Below are 23,091 nucleotides of genomic sequence, written 5' to 3' on the forward strand. Positions count from 1 at the left end.
ATGTGGAACTACATGTTAGTATTACTTTTTGGGAAAATTTTTTTGTAATTCATTCAGAACTTGAAGCATGTCCCTCTTGGACACAACAATTATTGTATCTTTGTCTCTCTTTGACAATCTTTCTGTTTATGGATATTCAGATTAGATTTGTTCTCTCTGGGAATTTCTTCCAAATTAGACTTTACTAGAAGAAAATGTTTTCTCAATTAGCCCCTTAGGTCTGACCTGGTGAATGTAAAGATAAGAAGAAAATGGAGCTGCAATAAATCAGCTGTACTAACATCATTCTATCTCTTACATAGTTTGATGAAAATAACCAAGGAGAAGCATACAGGTGGTGCTCTACAAAAATAAACTTCACACAGAAATAAACTTGATGAATTTCCAATATCAAAGATTAAGTAATTTTTAGTGATTAGAGTTATTGATAAGAATAATTTCCTTATAAATTTGTCCACATTTTAATGTTTTTAAGTATACACAATGATATTCAGGAACTAAAAAAGTACTGTATACAACACATTTTCTATAGAATTTACAAAAATTAGGAGTATTCACAGAAGTACACATTTTTCAAATTTAGTACAGTCTCTATTAACAATTCTGAAGTAATACAATAGTAATTCCATTTAGTTGGAAGTAAATACAAATATCAACATTCAATATTGTGGTATAACATTTATAGAAAAACTTTTTATTTTGTTTATAACTGACACATAATAATTGTACATGTTTATGGGGAACAGTGTGATGTTTCAGTACATGTATATGTTGTACATGCTGTAGGAGTGATTTTGAAATAAAGGGTCATGACAATGTTTTATGAGATCAATTTAGTGAATCACAATCAGAGGGTTTTTAAATGAAATTGAAAAGAAAAGAAAAAGGATAAAAATGTCAGATAACACTTGAAAGTTTCATAAAACTTTTATTTCAGTTAGCTATGTGAAGAAAAATACACACTCATATGTATATGATGAGTTTATACTGTGAGACCCAATCAAAATAGAAAAGCCTCCTTATATACAGGACAATGAGCCTTTCAAATTTTGTGAAAGATCAGGATTTACTTGTGCATGTGTGTGTTTGCAAGCATCTTTGAAAAAGTTCATGCACCAAAATAATAAACATGTATATACCTTTGTTCTAAGAAAGATGTCTCCTAAAAGATACAAATAGTCTCTAGTCTACATAAAATCCATAAGAAATTTCTGGAGAATTACATTTGATATTTGTTTTTGAATGCATAGCAGATGCCTTATTGCTGGTCGCTGCATGCCTGCTAGTGTACCATGCGGTGATTATTACACTACATGCTGAGCAACAAGTCAGCTGGAGAGCACCGGAAGAGAAATGGGTACTTCGTGAATAAACATTTGCTTACAGATCACATTATGTGTGATCACTGTTTTGCAGCTGCTGTTGTTAGTCCTTTGTTGTAAATTGAAACAAAATCAATGTGAAAAATGAAAGATTATTTCGTTGTTCATAGATGCTGAATTTATGTAGCCTTCAGGCATATTTTTGTGATGCTGTTATTATAGTATCTTTAAGTGGGAACAATATTGCATTTCTCTGAGTATGTTAGCTACCTATCTTCTTTCCTAGGTCAAATTCACAGGTAACAAATGACAGATAATTAAAAACTAAAGGCAAAAATAAAAAGAAAAAGGTCAATGGTAAAGCTATAGCTGTCCTAAAACACTTCTACTCATAAAGAGGTCTCTGAAGGTTAACTCTCAGTGGCAAAGTAACGGCTTTGGATTGCATTCATTTTGAGTGATGACCGAAGTAAAACCTATACATGCTTGCTATTGCTGACAGGAGAAAGTATAGATTAAGACAGCACAAGAAATGAGTACATTTATATTCATGAATAAATTCATTCTTTCCTTTACGTAATATGGATAATTTTGAATATCTTTTCAACAACAAATGAGCTGGCATTATGTGCATAAGGAACTATTACAAAAACGGCTTATAGTTTTGCACTCAGCTTCTCAATGTAATGTCTAGATCTATTGAATATCAGCTTGTATTGGTGATTATTATATATTTAAGTTCTCCTTTAACCTAGTGTTCACAATTTTAATCTATTTCTTTTTTTCTTCTCTATTCATTTTATTGAGGAAAATGTCATTGTACAGAAAATATTATCACCTTAGTTCATTTTTTTGTTTGTTCGAGACGGAGTCTCCATCTGTCACCCAGGCTGGAGTGCAGTGGCACGATCTCAGCTCACTGCAACCTCCGCCTCCCGGGTTCAAGTGATTCTCCTACCTCAGTCTCCTCAGTAGCTGGGACTGCAGGCATGTGCCACCACACCGGGCTAATTTTTGTATTTTTGTAGAGACAGGATTTCACCATGTTGGCCAGACTGGTCTCGAAATCCTGACCTCACGTGATCCAACCACCTCGGCCTCTCAAAGTGCTGGGATTACAGGCGTGAGCCACCGCATTTGGCCTTAGTTCATTTTTTATCTGCATTATAAACATACTCACATAGCACTTTTATTCTCATTCTCCAGTACTAATAAATATGATTTTTTAAGAATATTTTATAACAAATATTTGACTTAAAGGATGAGAAACTGAAAAGGATATATAAAATAAGTATTTTTTTTCTTAAGGAAAGCACTAATTATGATGATTATTATGATGATTAATATTATTATGAACATGATTAATTAGTTCTATATGTTAAAGTATTTTTATTTAAACTATAAAAAAGTCAGTTTGCTGTACAATTAAGAAAAACATGATATGAATAAGTAGAACATAAAACAAATCCTACTTAATATACACTAGAATTATTTTTGAAAAACCAAGCCAAATACAAAATCGTCTAGAAATGTCTAATGATTCCTAATTTAATAGATACATGGGCCAGTCAAAATAAAACACATCTTATTAAAAAAAACTAACAAACATAAGAAAGAATAAAAGTAGTTTCTTAGTTGTAAATATATACCAATATTAGGTTTATTGTGCAGTTAAATTAAAATTTAAATAACATGGTCAAGCTAGTATGAAGCTATCACTAAACATAAACACAATACAAATGCCTCTACAAAATGGATTAATGGCTAACTAAATACTCTAATGAGTTAAAACACGGAAAGTTTCTAAATGAAATTAAATTATATTAAACAGAAATGATATCACTACTCTAAAATGTATCAGATGACTTTATCCTAAAGATTGTAGGGGTGAAAGTTTAGAGATAGAACATTGCAATGACAAGATATCTGTGTTTAGGACAGAATTGTCAAAGTATATGTGGAGCTTCACCTAATGATTTTTTTTTCATATAACTGAGTTGATCTGAAAGAAAAAAATTGAAATAAAATGTGTTTACCAATATGTTTAACCCCCCAAATGGGAATGCATTACTAATATCTTATATGTGTATTAAATAATAAACACAATAAGCCACTTGTAAATTTTGATTTATGTAAATAAAGATATATGACTTTCACAGTAATTCTGACTTATGTAAGTAAATATATATGACTTTCACCTTAATGCAGGAATAATTTTAAAAGTATTTCCTGGAAGAAGTAAGCACAAACCCTCTTTGAAGAAATAGAAGCCTGCCGTAATGATTTTCCAAAAACAAAATACCATGTTATCTTACATTCAAAAATGACAAAATTCACAAAAAAGTTACTATGAATTACAAACACTAAACACAAAAGACAGCACAATCAGACATCATAATATTTTATAATTGGAGTTATTGAACACGTAATATAAAATATATATGATTAATATGCTCCAAGAAACAGAATACGTGAAAATATGATCAAATTTAAAAATAAAAGACTTTGGAAAAGGAATAGATTATTCCCCTAGATACATTGGGAAGTAGTAGACCCCTGCTGACATCTTGATTTTGGCCCAGCAGTACTTATTTTGGATCCTAGCCTTCAGAATTGCAAGTCAATTTTGATTGTTTTAAGTCACTGAATTTGTGATAATTTGTTACAGCAATCACAGGAAATAACACGATATATTTTCTGAGCACTTTTTAGTAGTCAGAGTCAGAAAATACATTTTTAGTGAAATCATGGGTTCATACTGTAACCTCCAATTCAAATTCAGTACCACAGGATGCTTTATTTTATTTTGTATGTTTATCTTTTTTCTTTCCTACTGAGAACTCAAGTTTCCAACAATATCAATATTTCATGACAGTCTTCTATCTTCAAGTAAACATAAAATAACTTCAAAGTTACCACACGAGTACTTCTACCAAAATCAAAAGTAAAAGTTGAGATTTTGTTGTGCTAACATTTGTCGTTAGAATGTATTCCACCAAGTGTGTAGAATCAGAGTATGTGTTTTTATTTTAGTTAGTAATGTGGGTTCATCCACATCTTCAGAGTATTTCTTTAATCTTTTTGTGTTTAATTTAATTTTTTGAGTATTTAAAGTATTTACATGTTCAAAACTCAAAATTAAGTGAAAAGTAGTAGTCTTGCTTCAATTTTACTCCATCACTCTTTACCTATCCACCAAATATATAATAAATATTTTCATTAGCATCTTGTTTTCTCACTTTTTTAGCATTTACATTATATCCTATAATTCACTCCATATCAGCTAAAAAATAATATCTTCATTCCTTTTATTAACATTCTCTTTTGAGGTAGTTATTGAATTACATGTAGTGGCAATAAATAATCAGATAAATCCTATATAGTTTTACCTAGTTTCCCCCAATGGTAACACCTTGCATAACTATTTTACATTGTCATGACTAAAAAATAGAAATTGATACACTCTATCTATTCATATTTTACCAGTGTTACACACAGTCATTGAGTCATTGAGTGTCTGTGTGTTTATTTCATACTGTGAAATTTTATCACATGTCACATGCAGATTCATGTGACCACTTCCACAGTCAGGATATAGGATAATTTTATCACCGCAAGGATCTCTCATGTTGTCTTCTCACAACCACATTGACATCCTTCTCCCTAGACCTTTGCAAACCCTAGAAACCACGAATCTGTTCTTCACTAATATTATTTTGTCTTTTCAAGAATGCTGTATACACAGAATCCTATGGTATGAAACATTTGCAGATTTACATTTTTTCCACTTAGTATAATTCCCCTAAGACCCCACCAGGACTAGAAGCGGCTTAGATGTGTGGCTTTCACAGAGAGGAATGGAAGGGGCAAGTAAATACAGTAGCTTCAACAGTAACATCCAGGTACTCGCATTGGGACTAATCAAGGAAACAACTTGACCCACAAAGAATGGAGAAAAATAAAGCAGGACGACAGCCCACCCAGGAGTGACATGGAACCAAGGGAACCTCTCAGAGGGAGGGGAGGGCTGCTATCTTTGCTGTTTGGGCAACTTAGCCATTCCAGCTTGTGGGCTTTGGAAAGCTCAAGCCAACCAGTGCATAAGCAGTACCCCAGCACAGCACAGCTGCTCTACAAAGGCATGGCCAGACTGCTTCTTTAAGCAGGTCCCCATATGAAAAAGGCATAGGCCCTAGAATAGGAAAAAGAATCTTAAAACATATGGATTAAGTAGGAGGAATCACTCTATCTGATATTGAATCTTACTATATAGCTATACTATTCAAGACAATGCAATATTGTTAGACGAATAGACACATAGATCAATGGGAAAAAAAAGAGAAACCAAATACAGATTCACACAAATGTGCTAGACTGATTTTTGACAAAGATGAAAAAGCAATTAAACAGGAAAATAGATACCCTTTTAAATAAATGATATTGAAGCAACTGGGTACATATTAACCAGAAAAAAAGGTAAACTTTGACATCATTCTCACGTCTTATACAAGACTTAACCCAAAGTGGATTATAAACTTAACTATAAGATATAAAACTATACAACCCTTAGGAAAAAAAAACATAGAGGAAAATTATTAAGATCTAGGGCTAGGCAAGTGGTTCGTAGACTCGACACCAAAAACATGACCCATAAAATGAAAAAAATTGATAAATTGGAAATCAAAATTGAAAATATTTGCTGTGTGAAAGTCCCCATAAAGAGGATGAAAATACAAGCTATGAAGAGACAAAATACTTGCAACCTGAATATCTGATAAGAAACTTATATCTAGAGTATATAAAGACATCTTTGTAAAAACATAGTAAATATAAGCAAATAAAGCAATCCAATTAAAATGGGCAAAGTGTTTGATGGGACATCTCACTGAAAAAAAGACATGGAAGCCTAATAAGTAGGAGTAATTTTCAACATCATTAGCCATTAAGAAAATACAGATTAAAATTACAATTAAATATTACTACAAACTTATTAAAATGACTAAAACAAAAACATGTGACAAGTGGCAAGGACAAAGAGAAACTGCATCCTATATGTATTGCTGATGGGAATGTAAAGTTGAACACGCTATAAAACAGTTTGACAATTTCTTATAAAACTAAACATTTGATTACCATATGACACAACGATTGGACTTTTTGACCTTTATCCCAGAGAATGGCTATATTTTTGTTTACAAAAATATTATACACTAATGTTCAAGCAGCTTTATTTATAATATTCAAAATCAGAAATGACTCAGCTGTTATAAGATATGTGATGAGCTAAACCATCCATTTCATAGAATACTGCTTACCAATGGACTAGTGATGTACACACTAATTACAAGGGCATTATGCTGTGTGAAAGAGCTCATCTCGAAAGGTAACATAATGTATGATCCCATTTTCAGAAAAATCGTGAAGAGACAAAATTAAAGAGATGGAGAACAGATTTGTGGTTGCCAGAGCTTTTGGGGGAGAAGTAGAAAGATGGCTCTGGTCTGAAGTTGGTAGCACAATAGATACTTGTGATAGAACTGTTCTATATCTCTACATTGATAATGATCATACAAATCAGCAAATGTTATGAAATTGCATAGAACTAAATATATGCACACAAAATAGTGCACGTAAAACTGGTAAAACCTGAATAAGTTTGGTGAATTGTATAAATGTTAATTGACACAGTACTATAGGAAAAATATTATCATTGGTTAACACTGAAACTGGGTAATAATTTTACATGAAATTTCTGTATTGTTTCTTACTACTGAATGTGAATCTAAAATTACCTCAAAATTAAAAGTTAAAAAAGATTAAGCACTGTTAGCATCTTTCTTTAAAAATTATATATATATGGATATACGTGTGTATACACACATACACTCATATATATTTCAGTAAATGTATAGTAAGCATTGATTTTTCCCATTTATGAAGTTTAATAAGTTAAAAGTCTGTGAGTAAAGTAGCATTATTTATTAAAATCATAGATTTTTCATGTCATGTTAGTCAGATTGTCATTCTGTATGCCATACAGCATTTCCAAAACAAATCATGGTTAGCCATACTTTACCTCCTCTTTTCCCCTGTCAATATGGGTACATCAGTAAAAGTTATACAGTTTAAAAACTTTCAGTTTTCCAGCTTTCTTTTCTCAATTCCATATCTAATATTGAGCTAGAATATTTAGTAGTTCATCATTTTCTGATCTCTTGTTACCTGAGTGACCAACTGGGAAATAAAAGTGAGATGAAATGAAACTGCAAGATAATTGAAGTTTCCCCTGTTCTCCTGTCAGTTTGAGAGAATATTTGAATAATGTATTGTTAAATATTGTATTGTTTATTGAAAAATAAAAGTGAGATGAAATGAAACTGCAAGATAATTGAACTTTCTCTTGTTCTCCTGTCAATTTGAGGGAATATTTAAATACTGAAATATTTCAAGCAAATGGAGCTGTTATTCTTAGCTCTTCTATCCAAAGCACCATTTTGTATAATTTTTCATTAATTAAATATTGTATGGTTTATATCAATTACAACTACATGCACTTATTAGTTTATTTTTTCAAAAACAAGCACAAATTTTACTCTCCTCAATATATCTACTATATCACATTATTATTTTCTTACCACACTGAAATGCAATACTTCCAAGAATCATCCTAAACCATGATGGCTACACCTGTTAGTGATATAAAGGAAAAAGTGCACAGAGCTAATGATAACCAAAAGTAAAAAAGACAGTTATTCTCTTCTGAAACTAAGGGTATACAAAATGGAGCTAAGATATAGAACCACCTGTGTGCTACAATACAGAGACATTCTAATGGTTCTCAAATACTTTCTTTCTACCAGATATATACTGTACAGTAGAATCTAAAATGTTTATAATGCTCACAAATAAGAAGCAGACTTTTAAAGTGCATTTCAAGGAACACTCATTTTATAAGATGTGAATAAGTGTCCTGCACACACACACATTTGCACACTCACATATACATAGACACACACATATATACATATACATGTATATATGTATATATCTGATAAATATATATATATAGTATAAAATAACTGAAATGTATCAGGATACAAGAGTGTAAAGTACTGCAGAACTTCAAAGAGATTATGAACAGTAGTTATCTGAGGGAGGAATTAATCTTCAACCATGTTTGAATAAAGAATTCTCCACTTTTTAAATGCATAAAACCTACATACATAACATTTCCTAACTAATTCTGTGAAGCTAATATAACTGATTCCAAAATGAAGTAATAACATAGCAAGAAAGGAAAACTGCAGACCAATATCACAAATCCAAGAGCACATTTTAAAAAGAATATGCATCATGAAAAAGTAGGATTTATTAATGGAATACAAGAGTGGTTCAACACAAAAAAAATTAATGTCACACACTGCATTAATCGAATGAAGAGGGGGAAGCACATAACTATTACAACTGATGCAAAAAAAAGAGCATTTGACAAAGCCCATCACCCTTTTCTGAAATAAAATATTCAACAAACTAGGAAAAATAAAATATTCAACAAAATAGGAATCGAAGAATATTTCTTCAACTTAATGAAAGGCATGTAAGAAAAATATACAGCTAACATCATACTTATGGTGAAAGACTAAAAGTTTTTCTGTAAGATCAAAACAAAAAAAGGATTTTTTTCCACTTCTCTTCAATATTGTGCTAGAAGTTATGGCCAGAGAAATTAGGTAACGATAAAAGTAAAAAGTATCCAGATTGGGGAATAAAGAATAGAATTCTCTTTATTCATAGGTGACATGATCTTATATATAGAATACCATAAGCAATCCATAAAAACTATTATATTTAAGAAGTTAATTCAGAAAAGTTGCAGCATACATCAGCATACAAAATCAGCTGTATTTTTATATATTAGTAGTCTTAAAGTGAAATTAAGAAAACAATTTTATTTACAATAACATCAAAAAGAATAAAACACTTAGAAATAAAGTTAGCTAAGGAGATGCAAGACTTGTATACTTAAAACTATAGAACAAGTTTGAGAGAAATTAAAGAGTAGATAAATAAATGAAAAGATATCCCATATTCATGCATTGAAAAATAATATTGTTAAGACAGCAATACAGCACAAATAGGTGTAGAGATTCCATGCAATAGCTATCAAAGTTTCAACTGCCTTTTTTGAAGAAATGACAAGCTCATCTTACAACTAATATAGAATTTCAAGAAAACATGAATAGCCAAAACAGTCTTGAAAAATAATAAAGTTGGAGGACTCTACATTTTTCCATTTAAAAAAAATGCAGAAAAAAGGAAGTACACCAAGTTGAGGAAAAATGATACAACATGGAAAATCACTTCTATAGAAAAAAAGTAAAACCAGCTTTCATATATATATATATATAAAAAATATATGTTTATATAACATATATAAATCTATTGGATGTATTAAATTCATTGTACATATAAATTGAAGACAATATATTATATTTGAGTATTATGTATCTAATACTATATATGTATTATATATAATTTCTTGCCTTCAATTTATACATTCATATGAATTTATAAATAGGTATATATGTGTGCATATATGTGTATGAGTCAATAAATATACATATATAAACATATACATTCATCCATACACAGGCACACACACAGGCACAGGTGACTACTGTAAAGATAAGCTAAATAATAGTAAATAAAATAATGTTAAAGGTCTTATATTTTATGTGAAGAAAAACAGTGCTAACCCCTTATAGACTTTGGAAGTTAACAATATGTATTACAACGGCCAGAGGAAAAGCTAAAAAATGCAAATATTTAGTCATGAAAAACAGATGAAAGAGTATCTGAAAAAATATTTAATTCAGTCATAAAGAGGAAAATAAGCAGAAATAGACAAAAATAAAGGGAACAAGTTGAAAACAAATGAGTAATTGTAAATGTGAATCCAAACATATCAATATCAATAATGACATTTAAATATTAATGGAATAAATACTCCAACATAAAAGTTGAGATGAATAAAACTCATTAAAAAGCTGCAGCCAACTTTATGTTGTGATAGGTTAAAGAAAGATAGATGGATATATTAAAAAAATGGCATCATAAGTAAGAACAAAAAGGCTGGAGTCACTATATCATAATCAGATAAGTTAAACTTAAAGTGTAGGAGTATTAACATAAACAGAGACATTTCATGATTTTATGGCAAATATGAAAATTTATCAGAGAGATATAACAACTGTAAATATGCATGTGCATTATAAATGGCATTCCAAATACATAAAGCAACACTTAACAGAAATAAAGATAGAAATATATAATTCCATGAGCATGCAGGGAAATTTTAACTGCATTCATAGTAAGGCTGCACTCAACAACTGAAGAATAAACTTCTGTTAAGTGCATATGGCAAGTACACCAAAAATGGATCATAAGCTAGGCCTTAAACAAGTTTTAATACATTTTAAAATAACTGTAAGCATATTGACTATGTTCTCTTACAATAATTGTATTGAATTAGAAATCATCAACAATAATATTTCTAAGAAGTTGTTCTGTGCAGGAAATGCACAAGGGGAAAGGAAAAGACACACACAATACTTTTAAGGGTAAACAGTCTTTATCCCAAGTATATGGCAATACAGATATAATAAACAAATCATATAATAAGCAAATCATATGATAAGCAAATCATGTAATAAGCAAATTGCAATGGGAAGGGGAGAAGGGAAAATATATATATATTTACACTCACCACACGATTGAGGATTCATCACCAGACCGAGAAGGTACAGCCTGGGCTCCAGAGTCAGCCTCTACACTCACCAGACTATGGCGGATTCATCATTATACTGGGAAGCAACAGCCTGGGCCCCAGAGTTGGTCATCCGTCCATGCACAGATGAGGAGAGGTCTCAGGAAGCTTTGGCGTGGTCTGGGACCTTACCTCTTTGTGTAATGAGTTGTTTGGTGTGAGGCCCAGTCACAAGGGCCATTCATGACTGGGCTCAAGGAACACAAAAAGGTCAACTTGTTTTTCAATAACTAACATACAGGAACAGATTGAAACAGAGATTTCTCGGAAATGGTGTTGGATGAATGCCTCAAGGGGCTCACACAACCTGTTCCAGGACTTGGTGACCTTTCTTTGTGTCCACGTTCAATCGAGTTCATATTTAATATTTAACTTTTCTTCCAAAGAAGTATAAATTTCAAATACTTAAAAATTAAACAATACACTTTAACAATACACTTTAAATTATTCATGGTTCAAAAGCACAAAGAAGAAAAGGTGCCTGCATGATAAGGCCTCTGGTTAATCTCTTTAATCTTCTTATAGTAGGAGATCTGACATTATGTGCCTCCTGCTGTGTTGCAAGGGGGTACTGACACATGAATTATGTAATACATTTGCCCCCAAACATGAATCATAAGCACCCTTAGAAGTAAATATTTGGCCGGGTGCCGTGGCTCACACCTGTAATCCCAGCACTTTGGGAGGCAGAGGCAGGTGGATCGCCTGAGGTCAGGAGTTCGAGACCAGCCTGGCCAACCTGGTGAACCCTGTCTCTACTAAAAATACAAAAATTAGCTGGGCGTGGTGGCAGGCCCCTGTAATCCCAGCTACTCAGGAGGCTGAGGGAGGAGAATCACTTGAACTCAGGAGGCAGAGGTTTCAGTGAGCCGAGATTGTGCCATTGCACTCCAGCCTGAGCGACAAGAGCGAAACTCCGTCTCAAAAAACAACAACAAAAAAGGAAATATTTATGTCAGTCCAGTATATGCACTTTCTATAGATTAAAAAAGCCTGGTTTTAGCAAACATTATTGCAGTGAAACAGACACACACACACACACCACAAACACAAGAAAGAGAAATCATTCTACTTCAACAGAAACTAAAAGGACACAAATGAGTAAAATTTTATAGAATTATAATGAAACATTAAAAAGCTGCAATATCTTTTGAGATCAACTTGGAGAAATGTGCATATTTTCATGAATCAGAGTATTTTGCATGATAACATGCAATTATTTTCAATTTTCATATGTGTAATAATAATATTGAGGTTATGCAGAAAAATGTTTATTAAAAATGTCTACTAAAAGTAGACAAAATTTGAACTGTTGGGGGTGAAGTGGGATGATACTGCTAATTCAAAATATATTCTTAAGAAAAATATGTTTGAATATAACTATATATGTGTTTGAACTAGAGAGACAAAAATCACATGCACTAAAATAACAACACCTGGTGACTGAATTGGAATACTACAAGGATTTAATTGTAGTGCATATCCTCCTTGAAATAGGCACAATATTGTTCAAAATAAAAAAGTTAACAATAACACATCTTCTCACAAAGAATACCCTGGTCCAACATAACTGTGCAGGTAAACTCTCCTGAGTATTTAAGAAAAGAAAAATTACCAATACAACACAAAAAATAACTATGAACAGTAGAGAAAGAGATAACCATTTTAAATTTTTTAATGTGTCTGGCAATATTTTATATCAAACTTTAGCAAGAAAGTAATCTAAGGAACCCCAGACATTCATTCCTTACAGAAATATTAAAGAAAGAACTAGAGGTGCATAAAATATCTTTGTAAGTGCCCTGATAAGCTATGAAAGATCTATATTAATAAAGCAAATGCTCCTCGACTCTAAAAGCTGTCTTTATGGCTGCGATCATTTTGTTGGGCTGTTGTAACAAAATACCACAGACTCTGTGGTTTACAAAACAGAAATTGATTTTCTCATTTTATGGAGGTTGAGGAGTACAAGATTAAGGTGCCAGCAGGGTTGGTGTCTGGTGAAGGTTCCCCACTTGTGTTGCAGATGGCCGCCTCTTTGCTGTGTGTTCACATGGCCTTTCTTAGTGCATACGGAAAAAAAGGGGAGAGAGGAAATAAAGGAGGGAGGGACAGAAAGAGAAAAAGAGAAAGCTCTCTGGTGTCCATTCCTATAAGGACTCTAATTCTATCAGATTACATATCAAATAAGAAACACTAGAGAGCAACTCAAAGGCATAAAAAAAATAGAAAGTTCTCCAGTAAAAGTAATACATAGAAAAATATAAAAATAAGTATATTGTAATTATTTATAACTCCACTTGTTATTCCTCTACACAATTTTAAAGATAAAAGTACAAAAATAATTATAAATCTATGTTAATGGGGACCCAGTATGCAAAGATGTAATTTGTGACATCAGTAACATAAACACTGATTTAACATAAATAATCACAAATCAATACCAAAAATACCCCAAAGGATTAGAGTTCTCAAGTGCATTTGAAGTAAATTTAAAATGGGCCATTATAACTTTAGAATGTTATATGTAATCCTTATGGTAACCACAAAAAATATATATAAAATACATATTTTATATATATATATATAAATTTTTTTTTTTTGAGTCGGAGTCTTGCTCTGTCGCCCAGGCTGGAGTGCAGTGGCGCGATCTCAGCTCACTGCAAGCTCTGCCTCCCAGGTTCACACTATTCTCCTGCCTCAGCCTCCTGAGTAGCTGGGACCACAGGCGCCTGCCACCACGCCCGGCTAATTTTTTTTTTTTTTTTTTTTTTGTATTTTTAGTAGAGACGGGGTTTCACTGTGTTAGCCAGGATGGTCTCCATCTCCTGACCTTGTGATCCGCCCGCCTCGGCCTCCCAAAGTGCTGGGATTACAGGCGTGAGCCACTGCGCCCGGCCTATATAGAATATTTTTTAAGTGAGAAGGTAATCATAATGTGTCATTACAAAAAAATCACACATAAAGGCAGTAATGGAAAAAATGAGGAAGAAATAAATATAAGGTATACAGAAAACAAAATGGCAGAAGTACTTTCCTATCAATAATTACTTTATATATAAATGGATTAAACTCCCCAAATAAAAAAATAGATTACCTGAATGGATAAAAACAAAACAAAAAGATTGAACTATATGCTGTCTACAAGAGGCTCGCTTTATATATAATCACACTCATAGTTTGAAAATAAAAGGATGGAAAAAGACAGTCTATGAAAATACTAACCAAATGAGAGGAGAGGTGGCTACAGTAATATCAGATAAAATGGGATTTACATTAAAAGCAGTTTCTTACAAGACTAAACAAACTCTTATTATATGATCCAGCAATCCTACTACTTGGTATTTATCCAAAAGTGTTGAAAACGTATGCTGACACAAAAATCTGCCTGCAGATGTTTATATCAGCTTTATTCATAATTGTCAAAACTTAGAGGCAACAATATTGTCCTTCAGTAGGTAAATGGATAAATAAACTGTGGCATATCCAGATAATGGAATATCATTTAGTGCTATACATAAATTAGCTTTCATAGAATGAAAAGTCATAGTAGAATCTTAAATGCATATTGCTAAGAAAAAGAAGTAAATGTAAAAAGGCTGCATACTGTCTGATTCCAACTATATGACATTTTGAAAGGAGAAAAATTATGTAGAGAGTAAAATGATCAGTGGTTGTTGGGGATTGTGGTGATGAAATGATTAATAGCCAGAACACAGAGGATTTTTATGGCAGTAAAATAGTTCTGCATAATGCTATCATGGTAGTTATATTAATATATATTTTTGAAAACCTATACAATGTACACCAACAGTGTACCTTAATATAAACCATGGCCATTTGATGATAAGGATGTATAAATATAGGCTAATAAAGTGTAAAAAAATAACACTTTGGTGCAGGTTGTTGATAGTGAGAAAGGTTGATCATTATTGGGGACAGGAGGTATATAGTACCTACCACCTAATCTTGCTATCAACCTAAGACTGCTCTAAAAAGTGTAGTTTATTAATTCTACAAAAGTCATTAGACAAAGAGTAAATTTGAAAGCAACAATTTACTGCACAGCAAAGAGAGAGGCAAAATATCTATAATATTCAGAAATTGTTCATGAGATGAAAAGAAGAAGGCACAAAATAATAGAAGAAAATGTACAGAAGCTATAAGCAGTGATAATAATTTGTTTGTCCATTAGTGGTCAGATTAATATAGGCTCAAATTGTAAATGGTCAGGTCTAGGTACATGGTTTGATATAGTGTCTCTGAAATCCCATTCTGAATTTAGCCAGAGGAAGAGAGGATTTAAAAAGTGACCTAAGATCCATTTCTCTCCTGTTCCAGAGAGAAGACCCAGAAAAATAATTGAGGAATGTCAACAGATATTATTTTTTAAAAAGTTGTGGTATTAGATCCAAATATCTGAGCAGAGATAAATAAATGTCATTAGTGAAACTTCTAGGTAGAAATAATTTTGATTGTTTAATAAACAGCTTTCTTCAAAATTTAGCAGGTCTCTTTGATTATTCTGCTGTGACCTGTATAGATGCAAAAGCTTTTGGAGATGATGAATTTGACAAATAAAACAAAATATAATTACACACAAACCACATGTACATACACAAACATACATCATATATGCTATGAATTATATATGTAAATACATACACACATATATATATATATACCTATATATGATGTGAATTTGTGTATGACCTGGACAATTTTAAACTCTCAAGTAGTCACGCAACTATTTTAAAACCTGGAAATTAAAAATTGTTTAACACTTACATGAAATAAGTGTTGAATAGATATAGGGTGATTTTCTTTCTTTAAAAAGTGATTCTATATCTAACATCAATTATAGTCTAAATTTCAAAATGAATATGTGCTTTTTTCATAATGTTTTTCCCATTTTTAATTTTCTTTCACCAATTTTTCACGGCATTGTCTATATTATAACTTCTCACATATTACGCTCATTTTTATCTTTTGATAATTTCTCCTGTTTTGCAATTTTTTCTCTTCTGTATTATATATTCCTTAATACAATATACATTTAGAACATTATACTTCTGATTATTTAGTCAGATAGCTCTTCTTCCTCAAAGCATACAAGAATGTAGCTTGTGAGTAGATGTGAACACCAAAAAACTAGTTAATGCAGAATTTCCTCTGAAAACTAAATGTTTATAAAGTGAAGGCTTATGCTAGTAAATTTAAACTCGAAGACTAGCACATTTAAAAGGAAAAATGTTTAAATTTTATTTAATAGCTAGATGCATATTTCTAGTTTTTTAGTGAATTTGATTTAATTTAGAGAAAATGACAAATTTTCTTTTTATGTGTGATAGCTAGAAGTGACAATTCAACACATAGCAATAATGATACTATAGGCTTTTCAGCTAGGAATCATAGAATAGCAGAGAAGGAAGCTTTCATTTACGCCAAGATAATTTCAACTCCTCACAGAAAATATTTATTCTTCTGTCAAGCTTACCTAGTTTATATACAGAACTAAAAACTTATCTAATTAAAATGAATTAATAAGTTCTTTCTATTCATTAAAAGAGATTCCTAAAAAGAACTATGTTCAAGAGAAAATTATTCCTACCCAATTCAAGAGCTAATGAAAATGCAAAGCTTTTGATTTCACTCCTTTGAGCTGTCAGAAGTGACAGAATGATGAGGCATATGATTCACAAACAGCATCAAACTGGGCTCTGAAATAAAACTGGCTGTTCCCCGGAATATACATAAATTAGTGTTTGATATTACACAGAATAAATTCAATAATGAAAGGCATTCCAAAAATCATAAGAGTGAAAACACTTATGAAAAACGCCAGTCAAATTTGCAATTAGGATTGCACATCCTCCTTGAAATACATGCAATTCACAATTGTGCTTAAAATATAGCAAATTGTTTTCCTTGATTGAAGTAAGGTGCCAAATTGAAATCGCAAGAGTAAGGTGACAAACTGAAATAGCCATTTGCAAAATGTGAGTTCTCCGCAATATGACAGTGGAAATGAAGGGAATGGAAACATAATTTAAAAAGAGGGTTCGTGAAGTTCACACACTAACCAAAACTGGCAACATTTAGTCTTCAGAAATTAAATACAAACAGCTCTACTATGAGACACAATATTTTTGCTGAAGCCTACAGTAAAAATAATTTTCTAATAAAAATATATTGATGTAACTTTTCATATTCAAAGACTATGCAATTTCAAAAGTATTCTAGCAAAAATGCAATTTTTTTCCTAAGGAAAGCACAGTCATGTAGAGGTGATAATATGCCGTATCTCTCAAACGCCAAGAATTTTTAAAATCTCATGAAATTCCTGAAATAGAAAAAAATTACCTGCCAAATTTGAATTATCAAATTGGTTTAATTGACTAAACTACCCCAAACAAGAATGTTGTGAGAAAAATTTAGGCAGAATATGAGGGATTCTGTAATGTTAAGTAAAATACCTGAGCAAGTAGAGAACATGATTATAGTGGAAATATTTGTCAGTGATGGGAATTTAAATGTGTACTCCACTCGTCTGAAATATTAAAATTCAAAAATTAAAAATACGTGAAGCTTCAACCTTAAACTAGTAAGAAGAGTACAAATTAAACACATAGTAAATAGAAGAAATGAAATAATATGGATCATTATGGAAACCAATAAAATAGAAAACAGGAAAAAATGGTACAGAAAATCAATGAAACCAAAAGCTATTTTTAAGATCAATAAATCTGATCAAATTACAGCAAGATTGATCAGAGAAAAAATACATATGATATAACTTACCAATATCAGGGAGTGAGAAGATAGCAAGAAAATAGGAATATTAAAAATATAAGATAATATGATGAACACATTTCTGCCAAAAATGACAACTTACATGAAATAGGCAAATTATTTGCAAGACACAAACCAACAAGACAAATCAAGAAGAAATAAAGTGAATAGCACTATATTTACAAGAGATATTAAATTTGTAGCTAATTCTCCAGTACTTCCGCTCTTATTTAACATTATGATCTCCAGTTCCATTTATATTGTTGCAAATGACTGAATCTCATTCTTATTTGTAATTAAATAGTACCCTATTGTGAATCTTTACATTTTATTTATCCATTCACCTTTTTTTATTTTGATGAACACATACATTACTTGCAAATCTTCGCTATTGTAAGCAGTCTTGCAACAAACATAGAAGTGCAGATATCTCTTTGATATACTGATTTTCTTGTTTGGGAGTACGCCCATGGGATTGCTGGATTATATACTAGCACAATTTTTAGTTCTTTGAATAACCTCCAAACTTTTCTCCATAGTAGTTTTATTAATTTACCTTCCCACCAACAGTGTAGAAGGGTTTTTTTTTTTTTTTCTTTTTCTCCACATCCTCATCAGCATTTGTTATTGCCGGATTTTTAGATATAAGCCATTTTAACTGGGGTAAGAAAATATTTTATTTTAGTTTTGATTTGCATTTCTCTGATGATCAATGATGTTGAGCACCTTTTCATATGTCTGTTTGTCATTTGTATGTCTTCTTTTGAGAAATGTCCATTCAAATATTTTGCCCATATTTGATCACATTATTAGATTTTTTCCTATAGAGCTGTTGGAGCTCCTTATATATTCTGGATACTTATTCCTTATTAGATGGGTAGTTTATCAATATTGTCTCCCAATCTGTGGATTGTCTCCTCACTTTGTTGATTGTATCCTTTACTATGTGGAAGCTTTTCACTTCATGTGATACCAGTTGTCTATTTTTGTTTGGTTGCCTGTATTTATGGGGTATTGCTCAATAAATTTTTGCCCATACCAGTGTCTTGGAGATTTTCCCTCATGTTTTATTGTAGTGGTTTCATTGTTTGGGGTCTAGATTTAAATATTTAATCCATTTTGATTTGATTTTTCTATATGGAGATAGATAGGGGTTGAGTTTCAGTCTTCTGCATATGGATATCCAATTTTCCCAACACTATTTATTAAAGAGACTGTCTTTTCCCAGTGTATGTTCTTGGCACTTTTGTCAAAAACAAGTGCACTGTAGGTGTATGGATTTATTTGTGGGTTCTCTATTCAGTTACATTGGTCTATGTTTCTGGTTTTTTTTATGACAATAGCATGCTGTTTTGCTTAGTATGGTTCCACAGTATAATTTTAAGTAAGGCAATATAATTCCTCCAGTTGTGTTATTTTTCCTTAGGATAACATTGTCTGTTCTCAGTGTTTTGTGGTTCTTTATGAATTTTAGATTTTTTTTTTCTATTTCTGTGAAGCATATAATAGGTATTTTAACAGGAATTGAATTGAATCGTAGATAGCCATGGGCCATACTAACATTTTAACAATATTAATTTTTCTAATGAATGGACATGAAATATTTTTCTGCCTTTTGGTGTCCTCTTCAATTTTTTTTTACTAGTGTTTGACAGTTTTTTTTATTATTATTTTTACATGACAGTTTTCATTATAGAGATTTTTTTCATTTTTTTGGGTAATCCCTAAATAGTTAATATAATGTGGCTATTGTAAGTGGGGTTACTTTTTTTTAACTTCATTTTTATGGTGTTCACTGTTGGCATATAAAAATGCTCCTGACTTTTCTATGTTGCTTTTGTATTCTGAAACTTTACTGAATTTGCAGTAGTTTTCTTGCTGAGTCTTCAGCCTTTTCCAAATATAAGATTATATCATCTGCAACCAAGGGTAATTTGACTTTTTCCTTTTCTAATTGCATGCCCTTAATATTGTTCTCTTGTTTGATTACTCTAACTAGAACTTCCAATGCTATGTTGAATAACAGTGGTGACATTGGTCAACCTTGTCATGTTCCAGATCTTAGAGGAAAGGCTTTCAGTTTTTGTCATCAAGTATAATTCTACCTGTGGATTTCTTATATAGGCTTTTATTATGTTGAGGGTTGTTCTTTCTATCCCCAGCTTTTTGAAGGTTTTTATCATGAAATAATGTTGGATAGTATCAAACACTTTTTTAGCATCAATTGAAATGGCCTTATGGCTATTATCCTATATTCTGTTTATATAATATATCAAATTGATTGATTTCATGTTTTGAACCATTCTTACATCCCAGGCATAAATTACTCTTGGCCATCATAAATGATATTTCTGATATATTGTTTAATTTGTTTAGACAGTATTTCATTTAAAATTTTTTGCATAAATATTCATCAGATATTTTGGCCTCTAACTTTTTTGTTGTTGTTGTTAAGTGTCTTCATCCGGTTTTGGTATCAGGGTAATACTGGCCTCATATAATAAGTTTGGAAATATTCCCTCCTCATCTATTTCTCAGAATAGCCTTAGTAGGGTTGGTATTAGTGCTTCTTTAAATGTTTGGTAGAATTCAGCATTGAAGTCATCAGGTCTTGGGCTTTCTGCTACCAGGAGGCTTTTTAATAGGGCTTCAATCTCATTACTTGATATCAGTTTTGTCAAGTTTTAGATTTTTTCATTGTTCATGATTGGTAGGTTGTATTTATTTAGGAATTTATTCATTTCTTTTAGATTTTCCAATTTATTGAAATATAGTTGCTCATAGTAGCCACCAATAATCCTTTGAATTTCTGCAAAATCTGCTATAATGTCTCCTTTCTTATTTCTGATTTTATTAGTTCCTTTCTGGTTTTTTGCTGTTGTTGTTGTTAGTCTGTCTAAAGGTTTGCCAATTTTTTTAATTTTTCAAAAAACCAACTATTTTTTATTGGTCTTTTGTATTTTTATTTCAATTTCATTTTTCTGCTGTTATTATTTTTTTCTTCTAGTATTTTTGGATTTGGTTTCCTCTAGCTTTTCTAATTTTTTAAGATGTATTGTTAAATGGTTCATTTGAAGTTTTTCCTCTTGTTTAATGTAGGCACTTACAGACATAAACTTCCCTCTTAGTACTACTGGTTTTGCTGTATTCCATAGGTTTTGGTATGTTGTTATAATTGTTATTTGTTTCTAGAAATTGTTCAATTTTCTTCTTAATTTCTTTTTTCTCTACTTGTCATTCAGTAGCATACTTTTGATTTTTATGTATTTATATGGTTTCCAAAATTCCTCTTGTTTAAAATTATTAGTTTTATTCTATTGTGGTCAGAGATTATGCCCAATATTATTTCAATGCTTTTAATGTTTTAGGACTTGTTTTGTTACTTGTGGACTATCCATGAGAATGATCCATGTGCTGAGGAAAATAAAGTGTATTCCACAGCTATTGGATAAAATTTTCTGTAAATGTCTATTCTAGTCATTTGGTTGATAGTGAAGATGAAGTCTTATGATTCTTTTTTGGTTTTCTTTATGAAAGATCTGTCCAATGATGAAAACATGGTGTTGAAGTCTTTAGCTATTATTGTATTGGAGCCTATCACTCCCTTTAGCTCTAATAATATTTGCTTTTTATATCTGAGAATCCAGTGTTGAATGCATATGTATGTAAAATTGCTATATTCTCTTGCTTCATTGACCCTTGTATCATTAGACAATGACCATCTTGGTCTCTGATAGTTTTTGCCTTGCAATATAGCTTGACTGAGATAAGTATAGCAACTCTTGCTCTTCATCCCTTTATTTGCAGTCTACCTAAGTCTTTATAGTCAAACTGTATTTCTTTTAGGCAACAAATCAATGATTCTTGTTCTTTTATCTATTTAGACAGTCTGTGCATTTTATTGGAGAGTTTAGTTCATTTACATTTAATGTTATGATTGATAAGTATGGACTTACTCTTTCCATTTTCTTCTTTGTTTTCTGATTGTTTTGTGGTCTTCTCTTCCTACTTTCTATTCTTTCTTCCTCTAGTGCAGATGATTTTTCTGGTGATATGAGTTAGCTTATTGCTTTTTATTTTTTATGAATCTATCATATGTCTTTTTCATTTAAAGTTACCATGTGGCTTACAAACACTACCTTATATCCCACTATTTTTACCTGATAACAACAACACTGTTTGCATAAAAAAATCAATCTAAAAAGAAAGCATGAAAACTCTATACCTTAACTTTGTCCCTGTGCTTTTTAACTTTTTGTTGTTTCTATTTATATCTTATTGTATTGACTGTGCCTTGAAAAGTTGTTGTAGTTATTTTATTTTTTATTGGTTTATTCTTTAGTCTTTCTACTTAGGATAAGAGACATTTATACACTACAGTTCCAATGTTATAATATTCTGTATTTTTTGTAGTCATTATTACCAGGGAGTTTTGTACCTTCAGGTAATTATTCATTGCTCATTAGTATTCTGGTTTTCTGATTGAAGTACTTCCTTTAGAATTTCTTATAATACAGATCTGGGATTAAGAAAATCCCTCAGCTTTTCTTTGTCTAGGAAAGTATTTCTCATTCAAGTTTAAAAAACATTTTTGCCAGATATACTATTCTACGGTAACAGATTTTTATTCCTTCAGCACTTTAAATATGTTGTGCCTTTCTCTCCAGGCTTGTAAGGTTTCCACTGAAAAGTCTACTGCCCAACTTACTGGAGCACCATTGGATGCTATTTGTTTATTTTCTTTTGGTGCATTCAGAACTCTTTCCTTATCCTTAACATTTAGGAATTTAATTAAAAGTTTTGAAGTACTCTTCTTTTGATTAAATCTTCTTGGTGTTCTATAACCTTCTTAACCTTCTTATACTTTGGTATTAATACCTTTTTCTAGATTCAGCAAGTTTTGTGTTATTATCCCTTCGAATAAGCTTTCTACCCCTATGTTTATCACTACCTCCTTTTTAATGACAATAACTTTTAGATTTGCCATTTTGCGGTTGTTTTCTAGATGTTGAAGGTGTACTTCATTGTTTTTATTCTTTTTGCTTTTGTCCCCTTTTACTATGTATTTTTAAATAGCTTGTTTTCAAACTTACTAATTCTTTCTTCTGCTTGAGCAATTCTGCTATTAAAGGACTCAGGCATTCTTCTGTA

General features: G+C 31.4%; 1 long non-coding RNA gene across 2 annotated transcripts in view; it reads right to left on the reverse strand.

Moving 5' to 3' along the window:
• LOC107985704 (uncharacterized) overlaps positions 1-11,307 on the reverse strand; it is a 76,931-nt gene extending 65,624 nt beyond the window's left edge. For both annotated transcript variants that reach the window (XR_001755915.2, XR_001755914.2), the window contains exon 1: positions 11,089-11,307. This is a non-coding gene — a long non-coding RNA (uncharacterized LOC107985704). The remainder of the gene's footprint in view (positions 1-11,088) is intronic.
• Between the last annotated feature and the right edge of the window lie 11,784 nt (positions 11,308-23,091).

The sequence above is a fragment of the Homo sapiens genome, chromosome X (assembly GCF_000001405.40).
Source record: "Homo sapiens chromosome X, GRCh38.p14 Primary Assembly".
In the NCBI taxonomy this organism is placed as follows: Eukaryota; Metazoa; Chordata; class Mammalia; order Primates; family Hominidae; genus Homo; species Homo sapiens.